Source organism: Homo sapiens, chromosome X (genome assembly GCF_000001405.40).
Source record: "Homo sapiens chromosome X, GRCh38.p14 Primary Assembly".
NCBI classification, from domain to species: Eukaryota; Metazoa; Chordata; class Mammalia; order Primates; family Hominidae; genus Homo; species Homo sapiens.
Window position 1 is genome coordinate 94,850,913 of NC_000023.11, and position 23,200 is coordinate 94,874,112.

At 36.1% G+C, this 23,200-nt stretch overlaps 1 long non-coding RNA gene across 1 annotated transcript in view, besides 1 other annotated feature; it reads left to right on the top strand.

Annotated features, from left to right (window-relative positions):
* The first annotated feature begins 269 nt into the window (after window positions 1-269).
* Window positions 270-23,200, top strand: part of LOC107985710 (uncharacterized) — a 71,824-nt gene continuing 48,893 nt past the window's right edge. The window contains exon 1 of the long non-coding RNA XR_001755916.2: window positions 270-547. This is a non-coding gene — a long non-coding RNA (uncharacterized LOC107985710). The remainder of the gene's footprint in view (window positions 548-23,200) is intronic.
* Window positions 11,742-12,322: an enhancer, noted in NCBI's record as "H3K27ac-H3K4me1 hESC enhancer chrX:94117653-94118233 (GRCh37/hg19 assembly coordinates)". NCBI's record gives its function as "activates a minimal SCP1, AML or CMV promoter by ChIP-STARR-seq in naive H9 embryonic stem cells {active_cell/tissue: H9 hESC(naive)}" and the evidence as "EXISTENCE:reporter gene assay evidence [ECO:0000049][PMID:30033119]".

The window sequence follows — 23,200 nt, forward strand, 5'->3', positions numbered from 1 at the left end:
CTGCCTTGCTCTCTGTGTTGTACAAACTACAATTCTCAGCTTGTGTGCTCCAGAACTATGACTTGCTCAGCCAAGGATGAATACAGCTGCTGGCCTCTTGGCTCACATCCAAATGGAAAAACCTGCCAAATTTTCTAATCAAAGTCTGTTTGCTAGCCTTTCTCTTTTTTGTTTTCTAGTTCAAATCTTACCATTAGAAGTTTCCAAATGTGGCCTAAAGAAAATAGCCTTGTTTCTAATAGTAGTAGTAAAGGCATAATTTCATATGGCCATTTACATTTAGGGATTTAAAATATAGTCTCTTGATGCAAACAGTAAATAAATACATTTTCCCAAGGCTCTGGTAATAAAATTAGGCAATGGGGATCATTTCTAGCACTAAGTGTAGTGCGTGTTTTTCTTGGCTCTTTAACTAGAAACCTGCATTTTATTTTAAGGTCTCACATGAAATAGAAGCACATGTGGTACATGAAATTTCTCTTGGATGATATATTAAAAGACGTATTAAATTGATAGCATCTCTTGAAGTCAAATAATAAAGGAGGGGGTAAGTAGAATTTTTCATAATACTTTTTAAGTTTCAATTTCTGAAATATTTAAAGATAAAGACCTTTTCTTATATACAAAATTATTCACAAACAACATTGTTATACTATTATTTCTTCCGAATTGTAGACTGTGTTCCATAAGGGAATATTGACTTTTAGTTTCTTATGAAATCTCACTCTGGTATCAGAGATCATACCACAGGGGTCATACTTATTTTTATGATTTAAACTGTCAGTCAAATGTAACAATTTTCAATTATCTAATATTTTAACCTTCAACTTTGATCACAAACTATACATTATATGCAGGATATAAAAAGTATATTTTATTCATAAAAAATGTGAACACTGGCCAGGCACGGTGGCTCACACCTGTAATCCCAGCACTTTGGGAGGCCGAGGTGGGCGGATCACGAGGTCAGGAGATCGAGACCATCTTGGCCAACATAGTGAAATCCCGTCTCTACTAAAAATAATAATTAAAAAAATTAGCCAGGCGTGGTGGCATGTGCCTGTAATCCCAGCTATTTGGGAGGCTGAGGCAAGGGAATCGCTTGAACTCGGGAGGCGGAGGTTGCGGTGAGCTGAGATCGCGCCACTGCACTTCAGCCTGGCGACAGAGCAAGATTCTGTCTCAAAAAAAAAAATAAATAAATAAAAGGTGAACATTTTTATTATTCTCTATTTTCTATCAAAACAAAGAGCCTGTAAACAATATCAAATTGCCAATCTAGATTGGTCAATGTAGTCATTGAACCGAAAGTTTCAGATGGATCTTTTATATTTCATTCTACTCTAATGAACCTAAAAGCATACAGTCCAAAACAGTAAATTGATTATTTTGATAAAGAAACAATATTGGTTAATGTCTTCAATAGAGAATCAGAATGGGAAAATGCATTATTTTTTCTTACATTTAAATATCAATTTTAAGAGATATAAATTGACCTAAAATTTTCTTCTAGAATGACCATTCTGGCTTTGTCCTTATTGAGCTATAATCTTTGTCTCTGGAGTCATTACTCCCTATTTATAATCATATTTCAGGCTCTGCTACCAAAGCAGTGCTTATGAGGGAACATATAAAAACTTATTGTTACATTGCTTATTAGTTCAACATTCATTCATTCATTCAAGGAACATTTATTGAGTGACTACTCTGTGCTATACACAGAAGAGGTGCAATTAACCAAAGAGACCATTGTATCTGTTTTCATGGAACTTTGCTTTTGGTTTCAGGTTTCCCTTGTGCTATACTCACAATAACTAGATATATGCACTTTCCCTCCCAGGCTCTATCTATCTATCTATCTATCTATCTATCTATCTATCTATCTGTCTATCTTTCATCTATCTAATCTATCTATCTGTATATCTATGTTAGTATATTGATAAATAAGTATATATATACATATATATGTGTGTATATATATATATATATATATATGTATATATCAGCAGGTGTATTCACCTCCTAATCCCAATAACATATCTGAATATACTTTTGGATATTCTATGTACAAAAGAATACCATAGTTAGATAATACTTTCATTTGTTTCTTTCAAAATATAATCCTTTTTATGTCTTTATTCTTGCCTTATCATAATGGGTTGGGTCTCCAGCACAATATTAGATAAAAGTGAGAGTAATGAGCATCTTTGTGTCATTCTAGATGTCAGTGGAAAATAATTCATCATTTCACTATTAAGTGTGATGTTTGCTGTAGGATAATTGTAGATACGTCTTACTAAGTTGAAGATTTTTTTTCTAGTCCAAATCAGTTTTTATTTAAAAAGGATGCAACAATTTATCAAATCTTTTCTGCATATGTTAAATTTATTACATTGTTTTTCTATTTGTTTTGACAATGTGGTAAAATATGTAGAGTGATTTTCAATTGTTAAATCAACTTTTCTATTTTGGGAATAAACTAAAATTAACTTTAATATATTACCCTTTTTCTATATTGTTCACTTTATTTTCATAAGATTCTAATGATGAGTTTTGCATTGAAATTCATGAGTGAGATTATCCTATGATAAGATTGCCATTATTTTTTATTTCAATGTTTAGTACATGCATCTATTAAAGCAATCTTGGCCTCAAGTTATTTTTAGAAGGGTTCTTAAATTACTAATTTAATGTCTTTAAAAGTATGCAACTAACCACAATTTATACACACACACACAAAAAAAAACAGAAAATAACAAAATGGCAGGATTAAGTGCTTAATAATCAATAATTACATTAAATTTAAATAGACTAAACTCTCCAATAAAAAAAGCATAGGGTGGCTTCATGGATAAAAACAAAAAAGACCTGTTTGGAAAAAAAAAAAATTGGCAGATGGGAGGCAGGACTAGCCTGCAGGTCCCACTTGGATAGACAGAACAGTGTGTGGAGACCCACATCATAAACTTTTGCTTCAAGAACTACTGCGGAAACATACCAGGATAGACGAGAAAATCCAGAGACCCTTTGAAGGAAGAGGTTTGCTGCTGCAGTCTCTGTGAGACAGCCAAAAAACTGTGAGTGCCCAAAGTGTGAAAGGAGAAATGCACACCCCTGAAAACACATTGTCCCTGGGGAACATGAAGGTCTAGATTACATAAGAAGGATTTGACCTTACCTGAAGCCGAGACAAATTTAGCAAGCTGAGAGAAATATAGAGATAGAGGAAGCAACAGGAAGAACACTGTGGGCACTCTCGGTCCCCAGGAAAGCCATTTCTGACTTTGTCTCACAGGGGTCCTTGTGGAGGACTGCCAGTGGAATTGGAGAAAGATCACAGGGAAAATAAAACTTCCAGCTGAACTTTGTTACAATTGTGACCAAAAGTGAAGTTTTCTAAACACAATTTGGTAGAGGGGGCGACCTTGGAATTCAGATATCAGCACAGAAGTGGTGGCAGACAGTGAGGTGGGAAACCTGAAAGACCTGCTTGCTTTCTCACCTGGGAGGGTTGTAGCCTGGGGCAAGTTCTCATACCTGCTCCCTGGCTGCCTGGAAGTAAACTCAGTGCTGTTGTGGGGGCATGATGAGGGTGAGACTGGCCTTTACAGTTCCATAAAAGCTGTGTGAGGCCTGTCACTGCCAGCTTTCCCCCACTTCCCTGGAAACCTGTATGAAGCAGCAGAGGCAGCCATAATTCCCCTGGGAACATAACTCCATTGGCCTAAAGCCACACCCCTATCCCCCACAGCAGCTGCAGCAAACCCCACTTGAGGAGAGGCTCAGCTCAGACATGCCTAACCCTGCCCTACCTGATGGTCTTTCTCTACTCACCCTGGTAGCCAAAGACAAAAGACATAATCTCTTGGGAGCTCTATGGCCCTGCCCAATGCCTGTGAAACCTGAACACTTATCCAGGAGACCCTAGGGCAAGCTTGTATCTTCTCTATACTACCACAGCTGATGCTCTTTTGAATGCAACCATATTCTGGCTGGAAGCCAACCAACACAAAACCAGCACACTAAAAGAAAATACAATCAAAGACTCTGTTACAGAGTTCACTTCACTTCCCTGCCACCTCCATCAGAGCCAGTGCTGGTATCCATGGCTGAGAGACCTGGAGATAAATCACCTCACAGGACTCTTTGCAGACACTTCCCAGTACCAGCCCAGAGCATGGTGCCTCTGCTGTGGGGTGGGTGAGATCTAGAAGAGAAATAGCAATCACTGCACTTTGGCTCTCAGGAAGCCCCCTCCCTAGAGGAAGGGGAGATCACCACATCAAGGGAGCACCCCATGGGACAAAATAATCTGAACAGCAGCTCTTGAGCCCCAGATCTTTCCTCTGACATGTCTACCAAAATGAAAAGAAACCAGGAAAACAAATCTGGTAATGTGACAAAATGAGGTTCTTTAACACCCTCAAAGGATCACAATAGCTCACAAGCAATGAATCCAAACCAAGAAGAAAGCTCTGAATTGCCAGATAGAGAATTCAGAAGGTCAATTATTATTAGGCTGCTCAAGGAGGCACCAGAGAAAGGTGAATACCAACTTAAAAAATAAAATAAAAAAATTACAGAATATGGATGGAAAAATCTCCAGAGAAATACATAGCATAAATTAAAAAAAAAGTCACAACTAGAAATGATGAACACACTTAGAGAAATGCAAAATACACTGGAAAGTCTCAAGAATAATTGGTGTTCCCGAGGAAGAAGAGAAATCTGAAAGTTTGGAAACCATATTTGAGGAAATAATTGAGGTAAACTTCCCTGGTCTTTCTAGAGATCTAGATATCCAAATACAAGAAGCTCAAAGAATAACTGGGAAATTTATTGCAAAAAGATCATTGCCTAGGCACATAATCATGAGGTTATCTAAAGTCAAAACAATGGAAAGAATCTCAAGAGCTGTGAGACAAAGGCATCAAGTGACCCATAATTGAAAACCTATCAGATTAACAGAAGATTTTTTAGCAGAGACCCTACAGGCTAGAAAAAATTAAATTCTATCTTTAGCCATCTTAAGCAAAACAATAATCAGCCAAGAATTTTGTATCTAGTGAAACTAAGCTTCATACATAAAAGAAAGATACAGTCTCTTTCAGACAAATAAATGCTGAGAGAATTTGCCACTACCAAGCCAGCACTACAAGAATTGCTAAAAAGAGATCTAAATCTTGAAACAAATCCTCAAAATACATCAAAATCTCACAGGACCTGTAAAACAGTAACATAATGCAGAAAAAAAAGAGAAAAAAAAACACAAGTTATTCAGGCAACAAATAGCACAATGAATAGAATAGTACCTCACATCTCCAGTACTAACATTGAATTGTAAATGGCCTAAGTGGTCCACTTAAAAGATACAGAATGGCAGAATGAGTAAGAAATCACCAACCAAGCAACTGCTCTTCAAGAGATTCACTTAACACATAAGGACTCATATAAACTTAAGTTCAAATGGTGGAAAAAATATTCCATACAAATTAACACCAAAAGTGGGCAAGAGTAGCTAATCTTAAATCGGACAAAACAGTATTTAAATAAACAACCATTGAAAAAAATAAAGAGGGAGATAATATGATGATAGAAAAAAACTAGTCCAACAGGAAAATATTATCATTCTAAATATATATTCACCTAACACTGGAGCTCCAAAATTTATAAACAATTACTACTAAACCTGCAAAATGAGATAAATAGAAACACACTAATAGTGTGGGACTTCAACACTCCAGTGACAGAACTAGACAGGTAATAAAGAAAAAAAGTAAATGAAGAAACAATGGACTTAAGCTGTACCTTATAACAAATTTACTTAAGAAATACTGACAGGACATTGTGCCCAACAACTGCAGAATATACATTCTACTAATCAGCACATGGAACATTCTCCAAGATAGACCATATGATAGGCCATAAAACAAGTCTAAGTAAATTTAAGAAAACAGAAATTATATCAAGTACTCTCTCAGATCACAATGGAACAAAAGTTGAAAATCTACTCCAAAAGGAACCCTCAAAATCATGCAAATACATGAAAATTAAATAACCTGCTCCCAAATAGTTGTTGTCAACAATAAAATCTCGATAAAAATTAATAAATTTTTTGAACTGAATGAAAATAGTGACATAACCTATCAAAACCTCTGGGATACAGCCCAAGTAGTGTTAAGAGGAAAGTTTATCAGATTAAATGCTTACATCAAAAAGTCTGAAGGAGCACAAATAGACAATCTAAGGTCATACCTCAAGGAACTAAGGAAACAAAACCAAACCAAACTAACAAACCAAACCTAAACCCAAATGAAAAAAAGAAACAGCAAAAATCAGAACAGAGCTAAATAAAGTTAAAAAAAATATATATAAATAAAACAAAAATCTGGTTCTTCGAAAAGATATGATAAAATTGATAGACCATTAGTGAGATGAACCAACAAAAGAAGAGAAAGGATCCAAATAAGCTCAATTTGAAATGAAATAGGAAATATTAATACTTGACCACAGAAACACAAAAGATTATTCCAGGCTACTATGAACACCTTGATGTGCACAAATTAGAAAACCTAGAGGAGATGGAAAAAAATTTAGAAATATACAACCCTCTTAGATTAAACCAGGAAGAAATAGAAACTCCGAACAGACCAATAACAAGCAGTGAGACTGAACTGGTTATTAAAAAATTTGCCAACAGAAAAAGTCCAGGACCAGATGGATTCACAGCTCAATTTTATCAGACATTCAAAAGAGAATTGGTTACAATTACATTGACACTATTTCAAAAGATATATAGAGAGGGAATCCTCCCTAAGTCATTCTATGAAGCCAGTGTCACCCTAATACCAAAACCAGGGAAGAACATAACAACAACAACAAGAAACAAACTACAGGCCATTGTCTTTGGTGAACATAGATGCAAAAATTCTCAACAAAATAATAGATATCCAACAGTATATCAAAAAAATAATCCACCATGATAAATGTGTTTCATGTCGGGGATGCAGGGATGGTTTAACATTCACAAGTCAGTAAATGTGATACACTACATAAACAGAATTAAAAACAAAAACTACATTATCATCTCAAAATTTGCAGAAAAAGCATTTGACAAATCCCAGCATGCCTTTATAATTAAAACCCTCAGCAAAATCAGCATAGAAGCGACATACCTTAAGGTAATAAAAGACATCTATGACAAACCCACAGCCAACATGACACTGAACTGATGTAAGTTGAAAGCATTCTCCCTAAGAAATGGAACAAGACAAGAATGCTCACTTTCACCACTTCTATTAAACACAGATCTGGAAGTCCAAGCCAGTGCAATCAGCAAGGGAAAGAAATAAAGGGCATCAAATCAGTAAAGAGGAAGTCAAACTGTAGCTGTTCACTGATGATATGATTGTATACCTAGAAAACCTTAAAGACTCATTCAAAGAACGTCTAGCTCTGATAAATTAATTCAGTAAAGTCTCAGGATACAAAATCAATGTACACAAATCAGTAGCACTGCTATGCACCTACAGCAACCAAGCTGAGAATCAAATCAATAACTCAATCCTTTTACAATATCTGCAAAAAACAAAACAAAACAAAACAAGTAAAACCTTAGGAATAGACCTAACCAAGGAGGTGAAAGTCCTCTACAAGGATAACCACAAAACACTGCTGAAAGAATTTGTAGACTACACAAACAAATGGGAATACCAATGATCATGGATAGGTAGAAACAATATTGTGAAAATGACTATAGTGCCAAAAGCAATCTACAGATTAAATGCAATTTTCATCAAAATACCGCTATCATTTTTCACAGAACTAGAAAATGCAATCCTAAAATTTATATGGAATAAAGAAAAGAGCCTGCATAGGCAAAGCAAAACTTAGAAAAAAAATCTGGAGGCATCACATCACCAGACTTCAAACTATACTATAAGGCTATAGCCACCAGAACAATATGGTACTGGTGTAAAAATAAGCATACAGATCAATAAAACAGAAGAGATAACCCACAAATAAAGCCAAATACTTACAGACAACTGATCTTCGACAAAACAGGAAAAGGACACCCTATTCAACAAATGGTGCTGGGATATTTGGCAAGCCACACACAGAAGAATTAAACTAGATTCTCATCTATCACTTTATACAAAAATCAACTCAAGATGGACCAAAGATTTAAATTTAAGACGTGAAACCATAACAATTCTAGAAGACAATATCAGAAATACTCTTCTAGACACTGCCTTAGGCAAAACTTTATGATCAAGGACCCAGAAGCAAATGCAACAAAAACAAAGATATACAGATGGGACTTAATTAAACTAAAAAGCTTCTGCACAGCCAAACAATCAGCAGAGTAAACAGACAACCCATAGAGTGGGAGAAAATCCTCACAAACTATGCATCTGACAAAGGACCATTATCTAGAATCTACAAGAAACTCAAATCAGCAAGAAAAATGCAAACAATCCCATCAAAAAAGTGGGCTATGGACATGAGTGGAAAAGTTTCAAAAGAAGATATACAAATGGCCAAAAACAGTATGAAAAAAATGCTCAACGTTACTAATTATCAGGGAAATGCAAATCAAAACTGCAATGCAATACCACGTTATTCCTGCAAGAATGGCAATAATAAAAAATAATAATAATTAACGTTGGCGTGGATGTAGTGAAAAGGGAACACTTTTACACTGCTGATGGGAATGTAAACTAGTACGAACACTATATATATAGTATGAAGATTCCTTAAAGAATTTAAAGTAGATCCACCATTTGATTCAGCAATCCCACTACTGGGTGTCTACTTAGAGGAAAAGAACTCATTATACAAAAAAGATACTTGTATACACATATTTATAGCAGCACAATTCGCAATTGCAAAAATATGGATTCAGCCCTAATGCCCATTAATTAACAAGTGCATACTGAAAATGTGAGATATATGTGTGTGTGTATATAGATATATATACACCATGGAATACTACTCAGCCATAAAAAGGGAACAAAATAATGGCATTTGCAGCCACCTGGATGGAATTTGAGATTATTATTCTAAGTAAAGTAACTTAGGACAGAAAACCAAATATTTTATGCTCTCATACATAAGTGGGATCTAAGCTATGAGGATGCAAATCCATAAGAATGATACAATGGACTTTGGTGACTCTGGGGAAAGGGTGGGAGGGGTTGAATGATAAAAGACTACCCATTGGGTAGAGTGTACACTGCTCGGGTGATGGGTGAACCAAAATCTGAGAAATCACCACTGAAGATCTTATCCTTGTAACCAAACAACACCTGTTCCCCAAAAACCTTTTGAAATAAAAAATAATAATAAATAAAAGAAGAAGAAATAAAAAACAAAACCTAATCATCTTTTACCCACAAGAAACACATTTTATATATAAAGATACACAGACAGTGAAAACAAATGCATTGAGTAGGATATTCCATGTCAATGGAAATAAAAAACAGAGCAGGAGTAGCGATATTAATATCAGACAAACTAGATTTCAAGACAAAAACTATAACTAGAGACAAAGTTTACTATATAATAATAAAGGGGTTAATTTAGCAAGAAGATATAACAATTTTAAATATATATGCACCAAACATTGGCACACCCAGATATATAATGTAAACATTATGAGAACTAAACAGAGAGACAGATCCTAATACAATAACAGATGGAGATTTTAACACCCTACTTTCAGCATTTCACAGATTATCCAGATAGAAAATCAACAAAGAAACATTGGTCATAATTTGCACTACAGACCAAATGAACGTAGTAGATATTTACAAAACATATTATTCAATAGCGGAATAATACATTCTTTTCCTCAACATATAAATTATTCTCAAGTCTAGACAATGTGTTAGACCATAAAATAAGTCTTAAAAAATCCAAATATATCAAAATTAAATCAAGTGTCTTATTCAACCACAATGGAAGAAAACTAGAAATCACTAATGAGAGGGATTTTGGAACCTACAAACTACATGATAAACAATATGCTTCTGAATGACCAGTGGGTAAATGAAGTAATTAAGAAGGCAATTTTAAAAATTCTTGCAACACATAAAAATGAAAACAAAACATATCAAGACATGTAAGATATGGTGAAGGAAGTACTAAGAGAGAAGTGCAGTTGTAATTGGCCAAATAAAAAAAGTCTTCAAATAAATGAACTAATAAAGAATCTGAAACAACTAGAAAAGCAAGGGCAAACCAAGCACAAAATTAGTAGAATAGAAAAATAATAAAAAAATTAGAGCAGAAATAAATGAAATTGAAACAAAAAACCCAAAAGATCATCAAAATAACTAACTGTTCTTTTAAAAGATAAAAAGAAATTTGACAATTATTTAGCTAGACTAAGAAAAACAAAAGGGAAGACCCAAATTAGTAAAATCCAAGATAAAAAATGAGACATGACAACTCATGTTGCAGAAATTACAAATACTATTAGAGGCTACTGTGAGTAACTGCAGGCCAACAAATTGGAAAGCTTAGAATAAATGGATACATTTTCTAGATACATACAACCTACCAACATTGAACAATAAGGAAATCTAAAATCTGAATAGACGAATAACAAGTAATATAATCAAAGCCATAATAAATTTTTCTCAGCAAAGAAAAGCCTGGGACCTGATGGCTTCCCTCATCCATCTTATCAAACATTTAAAAAAATAGTACAATCTTAATTCAAACGATTCCAAAACATCAAAAAGAACAGAATACTTCCAAACTCATTCTGTAAGGCCAGTGTTATTCTGATACTGAAACCAGACAAAAACATATCAAAAAAGAAAGTTACAGGCCAATGATTCTGATGAACATTGATGTAAAAATCGTAAACAAAATACTTGCAAACCAAATTCAACAACCAATTCAAATAATTATTTATTATGACAAAGTAGGATTTATTTCACAGATGCAAAGATGTTTCAACTATGCAAACTAATCAATGTGATACATAATATCAACAAAACGAAGGGCAAAATCCACATAATCCTTTTCACTGATCCTGAAATAGTGTTTAATAAAATTCAACCTCCTTTAATGATAAAAAATTCTCAAACAACAGGGCATGGAAAAAATATGTCTTCAAACAATAAAAGCCATATATGACAAGCCCATGTTTAGTATCATAATGAATGGGAAATATTGAAAGTGTTTCCTTTAAGATATGGAACAAGACCAGGATGATCGCTTTTGCTACTGTTACTCAAGAGAATACTGGAAGTTCTAGATAGAGTAAGCAGACAAGAGAAAGAAATGAAGGGCATTCAAATTGAGAGAAGTCAAATTATCATTGTTTGCAGATGATATAACCTTGTTTGAAAAAAATTTAAGACTCCACCAAAAATTTATTAGAACTGATAGACAAATTTAGTGAAGTTGCAGGATACAACTCAGTACATAAAAATAAGTAGCATTTCTGGCGAGAGGAGCCAAGATGGCCGAATAGGAACAGCTCCTGTCTACAGCTCCCAGCGTGAGCGACGCAGAAGACGGGTGATTTCTGCATTTCCATCTGAGGTACCGGGTTCATCTCACTAGGGAGTGCCAGACAGTGGGCACAGATCAGTGGGTGTACGCACCGTGCACGAGCCGAAGCAGGGCGAGGCATTGCCTCACTCAGGAAGTGCAGGGGGTCAGGGAGTTCCCTTTCCTAGTCAAAGAAAGGGGTGACAGACAGCACCTGGAAGATCGGGTCACTCCCACCCGAATACTGCGCTTTTCCGACGGGCTTAAAAAATGGCGCACCAGGAGATTGTGTCCTGCACCTGGCTCCGAGGCTCCTACGCCCACGGAGTCTCACTGATTGCTAGCACAGCAGTCTGAGATCAAACTGCAAGGTGGCAACGAGGCTGGGGGAGGGGTGCCCGCCATTGCCCAGGCTTGCTTAGGTAAACAAAGCAGCCGGGAAGCTCGAACTGGGTGGAGCCCAGCACAGCTCAAGGAGGCCTGCCTGCCTCTGTAGGCTCCACCTCTGGGGGCAGGGCACAGACAAACAAAAAGACAGCAGTAACCTCTGCAGACTTAAATGTCCCTGTCTCACAGCTTTGAAGAGAGCAGTGGTTCTCCCAGTATGCAGCTGGAGATCTGAGAACACGCAGACTGCCTCCTCAAGTGGGTCCCTGACCCCTGACCCCCGAACAGCCTAACTGGGAGGCACCCACCAGCAGGGGCACACTGACACATCACACTGCAGGGTACTCCAACAGACCTGCAGCTGACGGTCCTGTCTGTTAGAAGGAAAACTAACAAACGCAAAGGACATCCACACCAAAAACCCATCTGTACATCACCATCATCAAAGACCAAAAGTAGATAAAACCACAAAGATGGGGAAAAAACAGAACAGAAAAACTGGAAACTCTAAAAATCAGAGCACCTCTCCTCCTCCAAAGAAATGCAGCTCCTCACCAGCAACGGAACAAAGCTGGATGGAGAATGACTTTGACGAGCTGAGAGAAGAAGGCTTCAGACGATCAAATTACTCTGAGCTATGGGAGGACATTCAAACCAAAGGCAAAGAAGTTGAAAACTTTGAAAAAAATTTAGAAGAATGTATAACTAGAATAACCAATACAGAGAAGTGCTTAAAGGAGCTGATGGAGCTGAAAACTAAGGCTTGAGAACTACGTGAAGAATGCAGAAGCCTCAGGAGCTGATGCGATCAACTGGAAGAAAGGGTATCAGCAATGGAAGCTGAAATGAATGAAATGAAGCAAGACGGAAAGTTTAGAGAAAAAAGAATAAAAAGAAATGAGCAAAGCCTCCAAGAAATATGGGACTATGTGAAAAGACCAAATCTACGTCTGATTGGTGTACCTGAAAGTGATGGGGAGAATGGAACCAAGTTGGAAAACACTCTGCAGGATATTATCCAGGAGAATTTCCCCAATCTAGCAAGGCAGGCCAACGTTCAGATTCAGGAAATACAGAGAACGCCACAAAGATACTCCTCGAGAAGAGCAACTCCAAGACACATAATTGTCAGATTCACCAAAGTTGAAATGAAGGAAAAAATGTTAAGGGCAGCCAGAGAGAAAGGTCGGGTTACCCTCAAAGGGAAGCCCATCAGACTAACAGCGGATCTCTCGGCAGAAACCCTACAAGCCAGAAGAGAGTGGGGGCCAATATTCAACATTCTTAAAGAAAATAACTTTCAACCCAGAATTTCATATCCAGCCAAACTAAGCTTCATAAGTGAAGGAGAAATAAAATACTTTACAGACAAGCAAATGCTGAGAGATTTTGTCACCACCAGGCCTGCCCTAAAAGAGCTCCTGAAGGAAGCACTAAACATGGAAAGGAACAACCGGTACCAGCCACTGCAAAATCATGCCAAAATGTAAAGACCATCGAGACTAGGAAGAAACTGCATCAACTAACGAGCAAAATAACCAGCTAACATCATAATGACAGGATCAAATTCACACATAACAATATTAACTTTAAATGTAAATGGACTAAATGCTCCAATTAAAAGACACAGACTGGCAAATTGGATAAAGAGTCAAGACCCATCAGTGTGCTGTATTCAGGAAACCCATCTCACGTGTAGAGACACACATAGGCTCAAAATAAAAGGATGGAGGAAGATCTACCAAGCAAATGGAAAACAACAAAAGGCAGGGGTTGCAATCCTAGTCTCTGATAAAACAGACTTTAAACCAACAAAGATCAAAAGAGACAAAGAAGGCCATTACATAATGGTAAAGGGATCAATTCAACAAGAAGAGCTAACTATCCTAAATATATATGCACCCAATAGAGGAGCACCCAGATTCATAAAGCAAGTCCTGAGTGACCTACAAAGAGACTTAGACTCCCACACATTAATAATGGGAGACTTTAACACCCCACTGTCAACATTAGACAGATCAACAAACAGAAAGTTAACAAGGATACCCAGGAATTGAACTCAGCTCTGCACCCAGCTGACCTAATAGACATCTACAGAACTCTCCACCCCAAATCAATAGAATATACATTTTTTTCAGCACCACACCACACCTATTCCAAAATTGACCACATACTTGGAAGTAAAGCTCTCCTCAGCAAATGTAAAAGAACAGAAATTATAACAAACTATCTCTCAGACCACAGTGCAATCAAACTAGAACTCAGGATTAAGAATTTCACTCAAAACCACTCAACTACATGGAAACTGAACAACCTGCTCCTGAATGACTACTGGGTACATAACAAAATGAAGGCAGAAATTAAGATGTTCTTTGAAACCAATGAGAACAAAGACACAACATACCATAATCTCTGGGACACATTCAAAGCAGTGTGTAGAGGGAAATTTATAGCACTAAATGCCCACAAAAGAAAGCAGAAAAGATCCAAAATTGACACCCTAACATCACAATTAAAAGAACTAGAAAAGCAAGAGCAAACACATTCAAAAGCTAGCAGAAGGCAAGAAATAACTAAAATCAGAGCAGAACTGAAGGAAATAGAGACACAAAAAACCTTTCAAAAAATTAATGAGTCCAGGAGCTGGTTTTTTGAAAGGATCAACAAAATTGATAGACCACTAGCAAGACTAATAAAGAAAAAAAGAAGATTCATATAGACAGAATAAAAAATGATAAAGGGGATATCACCACCGATCCCACAGAAATACAAACTACCATCAGAGAACACTACAAACACCTCTACACAAATAAACTAGGAAATCTGGAACAAATGGATAAATTCATCGACACATACACTCTCCCAAGACTAAACCAGGAAGAAGTTGAATCTCTGAATAGACCAATAACAGGATCTGAAATTGTGGCAATAATCAATAGCTTACCAACCAAAAAGAGTCCAGGACCAGATGGATTCACAGTCGAATTCTACCAGAGGTACAAGGAGGAACTGGTACCATTCCTTCTGAAACTATCCCAATCAATAGAAAAAGAGGGAATCCTCCCTAACTCATTTTATAAGGCCAGCATCATCCTGATACCAAAGCCGGGCAGAGACCAAACCAAAAAAGAGAATTTTAGACCAATATCCTTGATGAATATTGATGCAAAAATCCTCAATAAAATACTGGCAAACCGAATCCAGCAGCACATCAAAAAGCTTATCCACCATGATCAAGTGGGCTTCATCCCTGGGATGCAAGGCTGGTTCAATATACGCAAATCAATAAATGTAATCCAGCATATAAACAGAACCAAAGACAAAAACCACATGATTATCTCAATAGATGCAGAAAAGGCCTTTGACAAAATTCAACAACCCTTCATGCTAAAAACTCTCAATAAATTACGTATTGATGGGACATATCTCAAAATAATAAGAGCTATCTATGACAAACCCACAGCCAATATCATACTGAATGGGCAAAAACTGGAAGCATTCCCTTTGAAAACTGGCACAAGACAGGGATGCCTTCTCTCACCACTCCTATTCAACATAGTGTTTGAAGTTCTGGCCAGGGCAATTAGGCAGGAGAAGGAAATAAAGGGTATTCAATTAGGAAAAGAGGAAGTCAAATTGTCCCTGTTTGCAGACGACATGATTGTATATCTAGAAAACCCCATTGTCTCAGCCCAAAATCTCCTTAAGCTGATAAGCAACTTCAGCAAAGTTTCAGCATACAAAATCAATGTACAAAAATCACAAGCATTCTTATACACCAACAACAGACAAACAGAGAGCCAAATCATGAGTGAACTCCCATTCACAATTGCTTCAAAGAGAATAAAATACCTAGGAATCCAACTTACAAGGGATGTGAAGGACCTCTTCTAGGAGAACTACAAACCACTGCTCAATGAAATAAAAGAGGATACAAACAAATGGAAGAACATTCCATGCTCATGGGTAGGAAGAATCAATATCGTGAAAATGGCCATACTGCCCAAGGTAATTTACAGATTCAATGCCATCCCCATAAAGCTACCAATGACTTTCTTCACAGAATTGGAAAAAACGACTTTAAAGTTCATATGGAACCAAAAAAGAGCCCGTATCGCCAAGTCAATCCTGAGCCAAAAGAACAAAGCTGGAGGCATCATACTACCTGACTTCAAACTATACTACAAGGCTACAGTAACCAAAACAGCATGGTACTGGTACCAAAACAGAGATATAGATCAATGGAACAGAACAGAGCCCTCAGAAATAACGCCGCATATCTACAGCTATCTGATCTTTGACAAACCTGAGAAAAACAAGCAATGGGGAAAGGATTCCCTATTTAATCAATGGTGCTGGGAAAACTGGCTAGCCATATGTAGAAAGCTGAAACTGTATCCCTTCCTTATACCTTATACAAAAATCAATTTGAGATAGATTAAAGACTTAAATGTTAGACCTAAAACCATAAAAACCCTAGAAGAAAACCTAGGCAATACCATTCAGGACATAGGCATGGGCAAGGACTTCATGTCTAAAACACCAAAAGCAATGGCAACAAAAGTCAAAATTGACAAATGGGATCTAATTAAACTAAAGAGCTTCTGCACAGCAAAAGAAACTACCATCAGAGTGAACAGGCAACCTACAAAATGGGAGAAAATTTTTGCAACCTACTCATCTGACAAAGGGCTAATATCCAGAATCTACAATGAACTCAAACAAATTTACAAGAAAAAAACAAACAACCCCATCAAAAAGTGGGCGAAGGACATGAACAGACACTTCTCAAAAGAAGACATTTATGCAGCCAAAAAACACATGAAAAAATGCTCACCATCACTGGCCATCACAGAAATGCAAATCAAAACCACAATGAGTTACCATCTCACACCAGTTAGAATGGTGATCATTAAAAAGTCAGGAAACAACAGGTGCTGGAGAGGATGTGGAGAAATAGGAACACTTTTACACCGTTGGTGGGACTGTAAGCTAGTTCAACCATTGTGGAAGTCAGTGTGGCGATTCCTCAGGTATCTAGAAGTACAAATACCATTTGACACAGCCATCCCATTACTGGGTATATACCCAAAGGACTATAAATCATGCTGCTATAAAGACACATGCACATGTATGTTTATTGCGGCATTATTCACAATAGCAAAGACTTGGAACCAAGCCAAATGTCCAACACTGATAGACTGGATTAAGAAAATGTGGCACATATACACCATGGAATACTATGCAGCCATAAAAAATGATGAGTTCATGTCCTTTGTAGGGACATGGATGAAATTGGAAATCATCATTCTCAGTAAACTATCGCAAGAACAAAAAACCAAACACCGCATGTTCTCACTCATAGGTGGGAATTGAACAATGAGAACACATGGACACAGGAAGGGGAACATCACAGTCTGGGGACTGTTGTGTGGTGGGGGAGGGGGGAGGGATAGCATTGGGAGATATACCTAATGCTAGTTGACAAGTTAGTGGGTGCAGCAGACCAGCATGGCACATGTATACATATGTAACTAACCTGCACATTGTGCACATGTACCCTAAAACTTAAAATATAATAATAATAAATAAATAATTAAAAATAAATTAAAAAAATAAAAAAATAAAAATTAGTTGCATTTCTGTATGCCAACAGCTAAAAATCTGAAAAAGAAATCAAGAAAATAATCTCATTTACTACAGATACCAAAAAATAACATAGCTAGGAGTAAACTTATAATAACCATAGAAATGACAGATTTTTAAAATGAAAACTATAAAACAAATTAAATATGACACAAAAATTAGAAAAAATTAAATTCATGGATTAAAAGAATCAATACTGTTCACATGTCCATGCTACCCAGGCAATCTATAGATTCAATGCAATCCCAATCAAAATACCATTGATGTTCTTTACATCAATAGAAAAAAATTTAAATTCATATGAAATACAATAGGACCCAGAATAGCCAAGTGATCCTGAATATAGAAAGAAGAAATTTGGAGAAATCACATTACCTGACTTCAAATTATACTTCAGAGTTATATTAACCCAAATGTCAGGGTATTGGCATAAAACAGTTATGTACACCACTGGAACTGCATAAAGAACCCATAAGTAAATTCATACATCTATAATAAACTCATTTAAACAAAGCTGTCAAGAAACTACCTTGGGGGAAAAAACATTCTTCAATGAATGTTGCCAGGAAAATTGGGATATCTGTATGCAGAAGAATAAAACTAGACCACTATCTCTCACCATATTCAAACAGCAAATCAAAATGGGTTAAAGACGTAAATATAAGACCTCAAACTTTGAAACTTCTGAAAGAAAACTGGACAAACTCTCTCAGACATTCGTCTGGGGAAAAAAAAAAAATTATTGAGCAATACCCCACAACCATAGGCAACCAAAACATAAATGGACAAATGGCATACTATCAAGTTAAAATCCGCATACCAAAGGATACAATCAACAAGGTGAAAGGCAACATACAAAATGGAATTAAAATATTTGCAAACTACATCTCTTCAAATGATTAATAACCAGTATGTATAAGAAGCTCAAACAACTCATTATAAAAAATAATAATAAAATTTAAAAATTGGGCCAAAAATTTGAATAGACATTTATCTAAAGAGGACATACAAATGGCAAACAAGTATCGAAAAATTTGCTCAAAATGACTGATCATCAGAGAAATGAACAGCAAAACTACAATGAGATATTTTCTTAAGCCAATTAAAATGGCTTTTATCCAAAAGTCAGGTGACAATGAATGCTGGCAAAGATGTTGAGAAAAGAAAACCCTTGTACACTGTTTGTGGAAATGTAAATTAGTACCACCGCTATGGAGAACAGTAAGGAGGTTTTTTTAAATAACTGAAAATAGAACTTCATATGATCCAGCAATTCCACTTCTGGGTACATACCTAAAAGGAACTAAATCAGTATATCAAAGAGTTTTTTGCACCCCTATGTTTGTTGCAGCACTATTTACAATAGCTAAGATTTAGGAGTCAAGTAAATGTTCATCAACAGATGAATGTATAAAGAAAATGTTGTACATGTTAACGATGTGTTATTATTCAGCCATAAGAAAAATGAGATCCTGTCTTTTGCAACAACATGGACAGATCTGAAGGACGCTAACTTAAGTAAAACAGCAAGGCTTAGAAAGAAAAGCTTTGCGTTTTCTTACTCATTTGTGCGATGTAAAAATTAAAACAAGATAATAGAATGATATCAGAGGATGGAAACATTTGTGTGTGTGTGGGTGTGTGTGTGTGTGGTGGAAGAAGTGGGGAAGTTTACTGAAAAAATATAGTATGAATAAGATCAATATTTGATAGCACAAAAGGGTAAGTAAGGTAAAAAATAATTTTTTGCAAATTTTATAACTAAATATAAATGGAATGTTCATAATGCAAAAAAAAAACAGACAAATGCTTGAGTTGATGAATACTTCATTTACTCTGATGTGATTATTATGCATTGTATTATGGCATGTACCTCATAATTATATACATCTACTATGTACCCATAAATATTTGGAAAAAAAAAGTTAAAAAATCCAGGGAGAAGAGAAAAATAATAATATAAAAATTAAAGAAAGTATAAGGGACTAGTGGAATGTCATGAAATAGACCAATATACACATTATGGAAATCTCAGGGAGCAAAGAGAGAAAGTGTCAGAAAGAATATTTGAATAGCTTATGAATCTCAAAAAATCAAAGGAAGAAAATTAACATCCAAATTCAAGAAGTCCTGTGGGCTCGAGCTAGAAGTATTCAAAACAAATCCACATTAAGACATATTATAATGAAATTGTGAAATGTCAAAGACTAAGAAATAAATTTAAAAGCAGCAAAAGATAAATGACTCATCATATACAAAGAAGCCTTCATAATACTATCAGTAGATTTCTCAGCAGAAACCTTATGGACAAAAGAGTGAAATGATATATTCAAAGTGTTGAAAAAAATCTGAAAACCTAGTATTCATAGAGACAGGAGTCAGACGAATTCCTAGGCACAAAAGGGATGGGCCCCCAGTGAAACACAACCTTCGAGCCAATGACAGCCTGAAGCCTGAAAAACAAGCTGCCAGTTCTGAGTAGAATCTATGACCCAGGGTAAAAACTTTCTTGATTTCTTTTAGCCAAAGGGTGCTTTTTCAGGCCTGCCCATGGACTAATTAGCACATACTTCCTCCCACCCATGGACCAGTCAGCATGCACTTTCTCCATTCTGAGCCTATAAAAACCCTGGACTCAGCCACACATCAGGACTACCCACCTGCAGGTAGGAGCTACCCACTTTGGGTCTCCTCTATGCTGAGAGCCACTCTGTGGCTCAGTAAAACTCTTCTCTGTCTTGCTCACACTTCAGTTTTCTGCATAACCTCATTCTTCCTGGGTGTGGGAAAATAACTCTCAACCCACCAAACAGTGGGCATGAAAAGGGTTCTAACACATTCCTGGCTGGCTCACTGAGCTGCAGTCAGTGGCACACTCCCATTCACCAGACTGTGGGAGTGAAGAGTGAAGACCCTTCTGAGGGCCCAGACCTTGGAATTCCCCAAGCCAGAACTGTAACACGATAGTCTTCCCGCCAGCATCATGTGGCTACCCTACATGATGCTAAGTGGTGGCAGGGTTAGGCCAGCCCATGACCCACAAGCCAGAGGTTATGGGACTGAACGAGATAAAACATGCCCCTCCCCATTTGCTGAGCTGTAAGCAGCGGGAGAGAGCTGTAGCACACCACACCCCTGCCATGCCTTAGAGCTTCACAGTTGCTGGCGACTGAGTTTTCAGGTGGCACTATATTCCCCTTATCCAGATGCCGACGACTGCAGTGGAAGCTGCTAGCAGTATGCATGATCCAGCCACAGCGTTAAACAGAGCTGGTGCCTGAACCAGCACGTGGAGCTGCCCACCCCACTGCAACAGCTGGCATGACTGGCTGTGAGCAGTGGCCAGACCCCACACTCACTTGCTCACACAAACCTCACTGCTCCGCACTCGGCTTGCCTTCAGCAGGCATGGAATCTGGAATAGTAGTGCAAGCCGAGAGCTGCCTGCTGGGCTGAGTTGGTGGTACAAGCCCAGTGGGCACGAGTGAAACTCAAGCTGAGGCATCACCAGCCACAGAGGTTTCCGGCTTGTGAAGTGACATCCAAAGAATCCTGTGACATTTCATTATATCTGACAAAGTTCTACTTCAAACTGATGGCAAAATACAGACTTTCTCAAATAAATAAGAACTGAGGGAGAACATCACCACTAAACTTGACTTAGACTAAATGCTAAAGAAGTCCTTGAATTTGAAACAAAACAGTGCTAGACAAAAACACAAAATCATGTAAAAATAAAATTTGCATGTAAAGGTAAATATATAAATGAATACAGAATACTGAAATTTTGTTAGTCATATGTAAATGTCTTTTAATTCTGGTATAGATATTAAAAGACAAAGGTATAAAAACAACTATAACTTTAAAACATGTTAATTCATATACAATATAATAACGTAATTTGTAACATCGACAACATAAAGTGTTGAGCGGTGAAGTAAAAGAATAGACATTTTGTATGCAATTGTATTTAAACTATTATTAGCTTAAAATTGTTATAACTACAGGGTATTTAAGTTCTATAGTAACAACAAAAAAATTCTATAGATAGTACATAAAAGAAAATGAGATATGAATAAAAAAAGACACTAAAAATTTAACAAAACACAATGATAGCAAGATAGGCAAAAAGGAACAAAAGAGCTACCAGATAGAAAACAATTAACAAAATGACAGTAGTAAATATTTTGCTATTAATAATTACTTTAAATATAAGTACATTAAATTTCCCAATCAAAAGATGTACACTGGCTGAACACTTTAATAAAAAATTTCTACTATATTCTGTCAACTAGAGACTCATTTTAGATTTTAAAACCTACATTAGCTGAAAGTGAAGGGATATAGAGAATATCTTATGCAAATAATATCCAAAAGAAAGCAGGGGTCACCTTACTTATATCAGATAAAATACTCTTTAAGTCAAAAATTGTCACAAGATTAGAAGAATATTATACAATAACAAATTGTATATATACATACAATATATATAATATGTACAATAAATGCATCTATATATAGATATAGGCATCCAACATCAGTACACACTAATATGAAGCAAATATTTACAGGACTCATGGAGAAATAGACAGCAACACAAAATCTTATAAAATTTCAATATCTTACTTTCAATAGTAGATAGACCATACAGACAGAGGATCAACAAAGTAACAAATGACATGAAAACATTATAGACCATTTGGACCTAACAGGCATATATAACAGATCATTCCACCTAATAGCAGCAGAATACATGTTCTTCTCAAGTGCACAAAAAACATTCTCCAGAATCTGTTATGTTGCAAACTAAGTTTTAACTTAAGAATTTTAAGAATTTAAAAGTGTTGAAATCATGGCAAGTATATTTTAGGACCATGACACAATGCAATATATAGCAGATGAAAACTGGAAAATTCACAAATATGTGGAAAGTAAAATAACATTCTTGAGCAATCATTGGGACAAAGAAGAAATCAAATAGCAAATTAAAAATATACTGAGACAAATAAATAACATAAAACTATGGGATACAGCAAAATAAGTATCAAAATGGAAATTCATTGCTCTAAAACATTAAAAGAAAAAAAAGAAATATAAAAAAAGACTTTGTATCTTAAGAAAATAAAAAGAAAAACAAATTAAGCCCAGCATTAGCATAAGGAAGAAAACAGCAAAGATTGTGGCAGAGATAAATAAATCGGAGAATAAACAAATAAAAAAATAAGTAAATTAAATGTTTTTTTAGAATATCAACAAAAGCAACAAATCTTTAGCTATATTAAAAGATAAAGCAGCTTTAACTACAAAATCAGAAATGAAAAAGGACACATTAAAACTAATGCCACAGATATAAAAGGAATGATAGGCTACTATGAACAATTATATATCAACAAATTGGATCACTTTGAGGAAGTAAGTTCCTAGAAATACATAACCTACTAAAACAGAATTATAAATGAATAGAAAATCTGAACATATGAAAAACAAATAAGGTGCTTGAATCAGTAATCAAACATCTTTCAACAAAGAAAGGCCCGGGACCATGTGGCTTTACTAGATAATTCTACAAAATATTTTTTAAAAAATAAATAACAATTTTTCTAAAACTCTAAAAATTTAAAGGAAGAGACGGTCAAACACATTGTATTAGGCCAGCATT